We start from the raw sequence: 11,042 nt of genomic DNA, 5'->3' as shown, positions 1-11,042 counted from the left end.
TGCTTGAATTCTCCAGCCTTCCCATTTGGATGCTTTTCTCTTTGCGTGAACACAGCCATAAGCTGGCTCGTTATAGAGGCATAGGCAGTGGTTGAAAATACAGGTCCTAGCAACAAGGAAGTCTGGGTTTGAATCCAGACTCAGCCACTTTCCAGCTGTGTGACCTGGGAGAAGTCACTGTTCCTCTCTGAGCCTGGAGCTACCTGCATCACTACCCTGAACTGATGAATGGAAAGCACTTGGTACAAAATCCAGCACATACTTGGCACACATAACTCACAGCTCGGTGTAATTAGAAGAATGCCAGGAGGACTGGCCTGCACGCTGGAAGGGGCTCTAGACAAGGCTGACCATCAGGATCCACTGGTTGGTCCAGAGATCTCGGAACAGACTGGTTCTCCCCGCCGCTTCTGCCTCCCACTCACCTCCACCCGTTCATGCAACTGTAGTTTTCTTAGCCCCTGAAACCGGGTTGGGGCTGCCGCAGGGGCCATCAGGCTGTGAGGGAGGCTGACGCGGACACAGTAGGTAAGAGGCCAAGATGTACAGTCCTGAAAGAGGGCAGGAGGCTGGTGACTCAGTGGGTGAGAAAATGCAAAGGCTGGGGCTATCTTAGCCCAGAAAAGGACAAATTTTTTTTCCCCAAATTATTTTCCTTCTTTTGTCTCTTTCTCCCCTCCCTCTCTCGCTCCTTCCTGCTTTTCTTCCTTTCCCTCCGTTACTTTCTTTAATCCAAAGGAAATTTAAGTGGAGGACATAAAAGCATATGCTGTTATTAATTTTTGCAAATGTCCTTAACTGAGAGGCACTGAGCAGAAAGAAGAACACAATTGCATCTCCATTATCTTCATCTGGGCCACCAGATACCAGCCACCCACTCTCTCAGACAATGGCAGAAAGGACAAGCCAGCCCCCAGGGACCCGGCCCTGCCAGCTTACCTGTTGGCACACCTCCCCTGAGCACTGCAGCCTCACCAACTGTCTGGGGTCCCTGAGACTGCCTGCTCACACTCACCTCTGAGCCTTCCTGTCTGCTGTTCCCTCTGCCTGGAACATCCTCTCCACTCCCCCTTAGACCCCCTCTAGCAGCTGTCCTGGCTGACTGCTAATTGGCTTTAGGATTCAGGGAGGCATCCTGCCTTGGGTGCCTTCTTTGATGGCCACAGATCAAGTTAGGGGTCTTCTCTGGCTGCTTATCCTCATAGCACCTGCTCCCGGATGTGACAGACAGCTTCAGTTTTGTCACCCTGTGGTCCAGCAGCTTTCTGAGGGAGGGCTGGGACCAGCTCTCATTTACCTGTGTCTCTCACCCCTGCAAGGTTCTGGCCACAGCAAGCAATGCCTAAGCACATATTTGTGGAGTAAAGGTATAAAAGACAAGGCATCCCAGATGGGCGTGGTGGCTCAATCCTAGCACTTGGAGAGTCTGAGACGGGAGGATCACTTGAGGGCAAGAGTTTCAGACCAGCCTGGGCAACCCAGTGAGACCCCATCTCTACAAAAAAAACATATTTTTGTTTGTTTGTTTGTTTGTTTGTTGTTTTTTAATTAGCCAGGCGTATTGGTGTGCACCTGTAATCTCAGCTACTTGAGAGGCTGAGGTGGGAGGATCTGTTAAGCCCAGGAAGTTGAGGCTGCAGTGAGTTATCATCCCACCACTGCACTTCAGCCTGGGCAATGGAGCAACACCCTGTCTCAAAAAAAAAAAAAAAAAAAAGGCAAGACATCAAGACATCCCTGGAGGAAGCCACTCTGTAGACCACAGGCTAACAGAGCATGGTTGAGCAGGGAGGAGTTGGGAGCTGCACCCAGCACCTCACACAATGTTATCATGGAGCTGGGGACAGAGCAGGTTCCAGAGCTGGGTTTGAGTCCCAGCTCCTCCGATGATGATATGACACCCCAGACATGTGCAGGGATGTCCTCTAAGCCTCAGCTTCCTCACTGCAATTTGGGGCTCTGTCTCTTTCTGGCAGGGAGTTATTGGGAAGACCAAATGAGATCATGTCCCCCTCCCAAACCCTGCAAGGCCTTTGCGTCACAGTTAGAATGAAGTCTACATATAGCCCTGTCCACTCGCAGCCTGCCTCCCTTCCCCATTCGCACCCTTACACACGGAGCCCCCTCCAACCTCCCCCCCACACACACTGAGCCCTGTGCTCTTTCCTCTGCCCAAATGGCCCTTCCCTCAGACATCTAGATGTCCATCCTCCTTCCCTCAGTCTGCCTCTCGGAGCAGTCTTCCCGACCACTACAACGATGCCTCCCCAACCCCGGCCTGCGTCACTCCCCACGCCCACCCTGCTTTGCAGCATCGCTCCCTGGCTGACATTACATCATGCATTTATTTCTTTGCTTATTGTCTCCCTCCCCTCCATGAGGGCAGGAACCTTCATCTGTCTTGTTGACAGTAGCATCCCTAGAACCTAGCTCAGGCCTGACTCACAGTGTGTGCTCAGTCCACATTTGGGAAACCAATGGAGAGATGAATGGCACAGAGATGCGCTCAGGAACCCAGTTCCCTGACCTCCCATCCAGGCTGCACCCCTCAGGAGTCTAGGTTCCTGCTGATTGGTAGAGTTCAGGACCCAGGGCTGGAAAGTGTCCACCCACAGGGCAGATGGGCCAAGGCCATGTGCTCAAGGTGTGCAGGGCTAGGAGAGGGGGTCAGCCCCAGCTCCCATATGAGGGGCATGTGCCTCGCCTTGCCCCTGCTTTGGCTAGAGGGTACCCTGTTCACCAGAGATGAGCCTAGGCTCTCCCCGGGCCCGGCTCTGGCTTTACCCCAGAGCCCTCCAACTCGCAGACCTCCAGGCAAGGAGGGCTGGGGACCCACCCGTCCCAGCCATTTGCCTTTTCTCCAGTAACAGAGCCCAGAGGGGTCCCTGCCTGGGCCCAAAATCACACAGCAGATTGGGGTAGAGCCGGAGAAGACCCGAGACTCCTGTGCCAGCCTGGGCATCCCCTCCACTGCCAGGGAAGGACTGCATCCAAGTCGCATCCGTACCCAGGCCGAGGTGTCCGAGGCCCAGGCTGAAATCCGGTTGCTGCTGCAGAGACCAAGTTTCCAAGGCCTTGTCAAGAAGTGGGCTGTGCCAGACGATCCCCAGGCCTGTCATTGGCTGCTCTTCGGCTCGGACACACCAAACCTCACCAAGCACTTCCATTTCTGAGGGAATAGAGGTTGTGGCTTCCGTCAAGCACCCATTTACCCCACCCTCCTCCTCCTCTTCCTGCAAACTTGAGTCACAGCTGCCCTGCTGGGCTCAGGCCCCAGGGATGTCTGAGTCAGCCTGGCTGGGGTTCCAGTCCTGACACCGCCCTTACCAGCTGGGAGACTCCGGGAACCTCCAACCCTGCTGAGCCTCCACTTCGACATCTGTGAAACAGCCATGAACAAGCAGGTCTCAAAGGTCGACTCCTGTATGCAGGGACACAGCATGCAGTAGGTGCCCAATCATAACAGCAGCACCCACCTGGAGCCCCTTATAGCAGCCCTTCTCCTCTGCACTTCTACATGGCATCTCATTTAACCTTCACCACAACCCAACTAGGAAGGCACCATCATTATCCCATTTTACTGATGAAGAAACTGAGGCCCAGGAAGGTGAATTTACCAGCCAGCTCACAAATGGACTAGTAGATGGCAGTTTGTGGATTGGAGCCCAGAGGCTGTGCTCCTGCCCACACCCTCTCAAATGAGGGCTATAAAATAACACTCTAAGAGCTCTTCCTACGTGCCTGGCAGTGTACTAAGAATTTGAGTCTTCAGTACGTTCAATCTTCACAACAGCCCTATGAGGTGGGGGTTATGAGGAGCCACCATTTTACAGATGGGTAAGTCAAGACACAGAGAGAGGATGTGGCTTGCCACAGACCACATGGCTGGTGAGCATAGGAGCCAAGATTCCAACCCGTTTCCCATCCTGGCCAAGAATAACACTCCTGCTTCTTCATTTCTCCGAAAGAAGCCATGCTGTCTCCATCCCTGGCTGTGACTTGGGCTGCTTGTCCCTTCTCTGCCCACCCACCCACCCCCAGGGCTGTGCCGGGGAAAGAAGGTGGTTCCTGGAGCCCTCTAGCCTCTGAAAAGCATGGCAGTGGCGCAACGTAGAGGATGGGCTTAAAGCCAAAGAAACACAGCTTCTTTTGTTGTTGTTGTTGTTGTTTGGGTTTTTGTTTTTGTTTTGTTTTGAGACAGAGTCTCACTCTGTCCCGAGAGTGCAGTGGTGTGATCCTGGCTCTCTGCAAGCTCTGCCTCCTGGGTTCACGCCATTCTCCTGCCTCAGCCTCCCGAGTAGCTGAGACTACAGGCACCTGCCACCAAGCTCAGCTAATTTTTTGTATTTTTAGTAGAGACAGGGTTTCACCATGTTAGCCAGGATGGTCTCGATCTCCTGACCTCATGATCCACCCACCTCGGCCTCCCAAAGTGCTGGGATTACAGGCATGAGCCACCGTGCCCAGTCTTTTTTTTTTTTTTTTTTTTTTAAGACGGAGTCTTGCTCCGTTGCCCAGGCTGGATGCAGTGGCACGATCTCGGCTCACTGCAACCTCCACCTCCTGGGTTCAAGCAATTCTCCTGCCTCAGCCTCCCGAGTAGCTTGGATTACAGGCGTGTGCCACCACGCCTGGCTAATTTTTGTATGTTTAGGGTTTTGCCATCTTGGCCAGGCCAGTCTCGAACTCCTGACTTCAGGTGATCCGCTCACCTCGGCCTCCCAAAGTGCTGAGATTACAGGCGTGAGCCACCATGCCTGGCCAAGAAACATGGGTTCTAATCCCAATGCCCCCGCTTCCTAGCTATGGGACCTTGATTGAGTCCTGTACCGTGCCTCAGTTTCCCCACTTATAAAAAGAGGTTACTAAAAAGGATGCTTCACTCAAGGGTGTGAAGACCCAGTGAATGAAGTGTTAATAAGAGCTCCACGTATAGCGATGCTGCTGTTCAGCTGCACCAGGGTGGACTCCCTTGACTTGCTGGGAGTTACAATGAGGAAGGAAGGACCGTTAAACCTGTAGGTCTTTCCAGAGAAAGTGCGTTTCCTAAAACCAAATCCTGCCCTTGCTCCAAAACTGTCAGTGGTGGTTTCCCATGACCACGCCACAGTCCCAGGGTCTCCCCTGGCCTTCAAGGCTGGCACAGTCTGACCCTGCCAACGTCCCTAGTGCCACCATCTGTCAGCCCCTCCTTGCTCCTGCTCCTGGTCTGCACATGCTGTTCTCTTTGCCAAGAATGCCATTTCCCCAGCCCCCTGGTCCCGATGGGGAACACCTCCTCATCCTTCAAAGCCAAGCTGGAAGGGAACATCTTTGGAGATGCCGCTTGACCTCCCAGGCAGAAGGGGTCATTCTCCCTGGAGATGTGGTCACGTCATTAACCACACTGGGTTAGAATCATCAGAAGCTGTTCCTGCCTCTTCCGTCAAGCAAGGGGCTCTGGAGGCCAGAAAATGCCTATGAATCATGCCCACACCCCCAGAGCCCAGCATGGGGCGGGCTCAGGTTAGGTCAATCGTGTTTGAAGACTGAATAAATGAATGTCTTCATTTGCTACCCTCAGAAGCCCAGTCCGGAAAAATATTCCAGTGCAAGGTTTTTGGCTTGAATGAGATCCCAAGAATCACCTTCAGGTTGTCAGGAAAATGATACAGGGAAGGGAAGGAGCCAACAAAGGGTATGGGAATGAGCACATAACACTATGGACAGCTGGGGAACCTTGGGCGATGATGCAGAACTGTTTATCACTAACTCTCACCAGGTCAGTTGTGCATCAAGGCTACTCGGGGGATAGCACTTTACAGCCTACTCTAGCACCACGGTGGCCTTCTGGGGCAGGGGCCAGCAGGCTGCAGCTGCTGGATGAAGCCCCCAGGCAGAGTCGCTGGTCCTCAGGTGCTCAAGCTTAGCTGGAAGCCTTCAGGTTGCTGTGCAATGGAATAGTGAGTACCCAGAGGATATGTGCGTGTGTTACAGTGAGTGAGTGAATGAACGAATGAATGGAGAATCAAGAAAAGAGCCGCGTATCTTCAGTCATTGAGCAGACACGGGCCTTCTGCTGTGTGGCCCTGGACGAGCCATCATGCCTCTCTGACCCTGGTTTCCTCTTCTATAAAGCAGGAATGCTAGCCCAGCCTCCCAGGAGATAAAGGGTGGGAGGTCCCCAGAGAGTGAGAAGGGTTCCACCTGGGCTCCCAGACTCAATCTCAGCTCCAGGAAGCAGGACATGGCCCCAGTGAGGGTTCTCTGTGGGTGAAGAAGCCACAGAAGGCAGGCACAGTGCCCTGGTTGGAACCACAGGGGCCCCGAAGCAACCACATCATGGCCACCACAGCCTCCACCATCCCACAGCAATTTCCGCTGCTGCCTCTCCCAGGGCAAGATCTCCCACCAGTGGCTGGCTGTCCCCTCTGCCAGCACCTGCCCCGGGTGGGCCCTGCAGCATGGCCATGGCTGCTGCAAGGCAGGCTGGCAGCTGCTCCTGTGTGCAGCAGCGTGTCTGCTTTGAAAAGCCACAGAGACTCCTGTGGTTAGGGGCTCATGTTACAGTAGCACACGTTCGAATCCCAGTTCTACTACTTGTGACTGTGGGAAAGTAATTTCACCCCAGTCCTCTCTGGTCTCATTGATCAAATGGAACTAACATTCTATTGTCCCCTCTGGTGGTCTCAACTCCAGCAGTTTGTGAGATGGTTGCCTTCACTGTTTTCCCTACTGCAAAACCCATAAGGACACAGTTATCTTGCCTCCTGCCCCAACCCCAGGGTCTTGAACACAGTAAGTGCTCGATAAATGCTTGGTAAATACATGAATTATTGTCTGACCCGCCTTGCTCTTCCAGTCCAAACTTAAATGTCGCCTCCTCCAGGCAGCTTTCCCTGATTCCTTCCCCGAGTTCCCAGAATCTCTTCCAACTCCTTTAACCTCTTTCCTGCAGCTGCCTGGCCTACTGGGTGTGGCCGCCAGTTATCGGACCCCGCACCCTCCACCTACCTTTCCCCAGGTTTGCGCGGGGCCTGCCGGCCTGCCCGCCCGCCCCGAGGGAATGAAGGGCTGGAAGGAAGGGGAGGGAGAAAGGAGGCGGCGCAGATACATCCAGAAGGGGAGGCGGCGGGGGATTCTCGAAGGCCCGGCCAAGACCCGCAGCCTCAGCAAGCCAAGATGCGAGCAGGGGGCCGGCCGGAAGGAGGCGGGGGAGGGGCGGCCAGGGAGCTGGACGCTAGCGGGCGGACGGGCGGGGGCGGCGGGGGTGGCGGGAGGGTTGGGGGCGGGGGCCTGGTATTTCCTGAGGCCCTTCAGGAAATGCTCTGGGCCGCCCCTGGGCGGGATCGGCGGTGGGATGGGTCTGGGAGGGATCCACAGGCTCCTTCCCTGCGCTGCCCTGGACTCTCTGGCGCGCTGTCTCTGCGGGCCCTCTTCCCCGTCGAGGAGGCGCTGCTCAAGCCCCATTTCACGGAGGAAGAAACCAAGACTCAGAGAGGGCCACCGGGGTCACAGTCTCTCCTGCACAGTTCTGCGGCTGCGCCAGCGCCGGCCCGCTCCCTCCACGCCCCCGGCCCCTGTCAGGGCTGCGGCAGCCGCAGAACCCCCGGGCCGGGCTCCCTATGGCAGGGCCAGGGCGGAGGACTGGGAGACGGGGCGGGAAGGCGAGGCGGGGCCCGGCGTATCCCACGCACAGACCGCGCAGCGCGCACAGCCCCGGCCCTCAGGGAGAGCAGTGCTGGCTGCCCTGCCCCGGATCGTCCTCCCCTGCCTCGGCCCGGACACGGCCAGGCAGGACCCCGCGACACATCCGACGCCCCACCTCACACTCGGGACCCTGAGACACTCACTGTTCACCTAACGACTCGCTCCCTCCTCCGCTGACGGAGGAGTCAGTCCATCGGGACTGGATGGGCTCCGTGTGCTCGAGTTCAAATCCTGCCTCACCACCCGCTGGCTGGCGCTTTTCTTGTCTAAGAAGAGCACCGCAGTTCCCTCTGTGTGGTGGGGATAACAGCACAGCCTGCCTCAGAAAGTTGCAGTGAGAACTAAATGCGTTCTGCTGGGCGCGGTGGCTCAGGCCTTAATCCTAGCACTTTGGGAGGCCGGGCCTGAGGACGGCTTGAGGTCAGGAGTTCGAGACTAGCCTGGTCAACATTGTGAGACCCCCCCCCCCCGTCTCTACAAATTTGTTTTTTTTTGTTGTTTGTTTGTTTGTTTTTTAGCCGGAGTCTCGCTCTATCGCCCAGGCTGGAGTGCAGTGGCGCGATCTCAAGTGAGCGATCTCAGCTCACTGCAACCTCTGTCTCCCGAGTTCAAGCGATTCTCCTGCCTCATCCTCTCGAGTAGCTGGGACTACAGGCGCGTGCCACCACGCCTGGCTAATTTTTTGTATTTTTGCTAGAGACGGGGTTTCACCGTGTTAGCCAGGATGGTCACAATTTCCTGACCTCGTGATCCGCCCGCCTGAGCCTCCCAAAGTGCTGGGATTACAGGCGTGAACCACCGCGCCCGGCCTACAAAATATTTTTAAAACGCGTCGATCAGTATAAAGCGCTGTGCCTGGCACATCCTGTGCTCAATCTGCTATTGTGACAAAATCGTGCTCAGGCCCCTGCCACCTGCAAACAAAGTCTCTCTCTCTTTGACATTTTCCCACCACCGTTTCAACCTGCGCAGTCTCTCCTTTTCTCTCTCCTTCTGAATTTTAACAAATATCCCTCTTCTGTAAAGTGGCTGAAAAAAAAAAAAAAGGAAAACAAATCACAATGGCTTAGACAAATAAGGGTTTATTTCCCTTATCACTGTGAACCCGGAGACCAGCCATGGCTGGCATTGTTTCCCCAGCCCAGTGATGGCAGGGCTGACGTCCTCTGTAATGCGCTTGGCGTTTCCCCCTTGTTTACAGCGTGGCTGATGCTGCTCCTGGCGTTGCATCTGCCTCCGCATTTAAGACAGAAAGGAAAAGGAATGGTTACTTTCAGGGTTAATTGAAAGCGTTTGTCACTTTCGTCAATAATTTCCCAGGCACCCCGCCCCCCTCACCCCCCACCCCCACCCCTGCCACACACACATAATGAGATCTAATGAGACTCCTTAGATGTCATTGGCCAAAACTGTGTCACATGGTCACTCCCAGCTGCAACAAAGGCTGAGAAGGTAAGTAGTTTCTCTTTTCCAGCCTCCACAGTGGAAAGCAGCAGGGAAGAGGGGAATTGGGAATGGTACACAAGGATCAGTCAGCTATTATAATAGTGTCTACCACACCTTCCCCCTCCGTCTTCTTCCAGCCCCTACACTCCCCAGGACCTGCCTTCCAGCCACCCCTGACCTCCTCCTTCATCCAGGGGCCACCTGTTTCCATTTCTTTTGGGATATCAGAAGCTCAGAACTCTGGGGCTGCACTTTTACAGGGTAGCAATCAGATGACGCTGAGTAGAACCGCATCTTTCTTTTCTTTTCTTTCTTTTTTTTTTTTTTTTGAGACAGAGTCTCACTCCATCACTCCAGTCTGCACACTAGGCTGGAGTGCAGTGGTGTGAACACTGTAGCCTTGAGCCCCCGGGCCCAGGTGATCCTCCTACCTCAGCCTCTCAAATGGCTGGGACTATAGGTACATGCCACCATGCTCAGCTAATTTTTTTTGTTTATTTTTTTGTAGAAACAGCGTCTCTTGCCAGGCGCGGTGGCTCACACCTGTAATTCCAGCACTTTGGGAGGCCAAGGCAGGTGGATCACAAGGTCAGGAGTTCGAGACCAGCCTGGCCAATATGAAACCCTGTCTCTACTAAAACTACAAAAATTAGCCAGGTCTGGTTGTGGGCACCTGTAGTCCCAGCTACTTGGGAGGCTGAGACAGGAGAATCGTTTGAACCCGGGAGGCGGAGGTTGCAGCGAGCCGAGATCACGCCACTGCACTCCAGCCTGGGTGACAGAGTGAAACTCTGTCTCAAAAAAAAAAAAAAAGAAAAGAAAAGAAAAAGAAACAGCGTCTCTTACTCTGTTGCCCAGGCTGGTCTCAAACTCCTGGTCTCAAGCGATCCACACACCTTGGCCCCCCAAAGTGCTGAGATTACAGGTTTGAGCAGCGCACCTGGCTTTCCATACTCAGATTCTGAAACACAGATCTCATCGTATCACTCCTCTGGCTCAAAATCACCCTTAATAATTGGCTCTACTAGAGCCCCATTTCCCTATACTCCCTGCCTTTGAATATCTCACTGTTGCAACACTGAAACACTTAAAGAATCTCCTCTGCTTTCTCTCTGGTTGCTTCTAGGATCTCCTCTTTGACTTTGGTGTTCTATATTTTCACTACAATATGTCCAGACATGAATTTCTTCCTACCTATCTTGCTTGGGATTCATTGGATCTCTAGAATCTATGCATTTGGTGGTGCTTATTAGATATGGAAAAAAAGTCAGACTTCATGTTTTCAAATATTGAATTTGTCTCGTTTTCCCTTCTCTGTCTGGAACTGCTACCTATGTTAGCTCTTCCTGTTGTATTCTCCCTGGCTCCTAACCACTTTTTTTCTTTGTTTTCTCCTCCTCCTCTTCCTCCTCCTCCTCTTCTTCTTCGTCTTCTTCTTCTTCTCCTCTCCCTCCTCCTCATCCTTCTCCTTCTCCTCCTCCTTCTTCTTCTCCTTCTCCTTGCTACTGCTGCCACCTCCTCCTCCTCCTCCTCCTCCTCCTCCTCCTTCAGCTTTCTCAGGTTGAATTCTTCTTTCCCCCCTGCCCCCATTTTCCATTTATTTTTCTTTCTGGGTTGAATTCTGGATAATTTCTTCAAATCCATCTTCCAGATCATGAATTCTCTATTCAGCTTTGTCTAAACTGTCGTTTAAACTCTCCATTGAGTTTTTAATATGTTACTAGGTGTTAAATTTCTAGAAGCTCCATTTATTTCTCCTGCACATTTGCTTAGTTCTTCTCATTCCTCACCCTTTGCTCATGTTGCTCCATCTTCTCCCACCTCTTCTCCTGGCAAATTCCTATACAACCCATTTCTTTCCATCCCCAGGGAGCTTTCCCTGACCTCCAGGATGGACTGGGGCTTTC

At 53.6% G+C, this 11,042-nt stretch overlaps 1 long non-coding RNA gene across 1 annotated transcript; it reads right to left on the bottom strand.

Moving 5' to 3' along the window:
* Positions 1–271: 271 nt before the first annotated feature.
* On the bottom strand, positions 272–7,191 carry LOC102724624 (uncharacterized protein ENSP00000382042-like). Its single transcript, NR_164158.1, has 4 exons — positions 6,994–7,191; positions 3,328–3,421; positions 3,008–3,169; positions 272–551 (listed from the first exon to the last, which is right to left on the bottom strand). It is a non-coding gene; the product is annotated as an uncharacterized protein ENSP00000382042-like (long non-coding RNA).
* Between the last annotated feature and the right edge of the window lie 3,851 nt (positions 7,192–11,042).

Source organism: Homo sapiens, chromosome 17, assembly GCF_000001405.40.
Source record: "Homo sapiens chromosome 17, GRCh38.p14 Primary Assembly".
Lineage (NCBI taxonomy): Eukaryota > Metazoa > Chordata > Mammalia > Primates > Hominidae > Homo > Homo sapiens.
The sequence above is the reverse complement of the archived record's forward strand: the minus strand, read 5'-3'. Positions and strand labels throughout refer to the sequence as shown.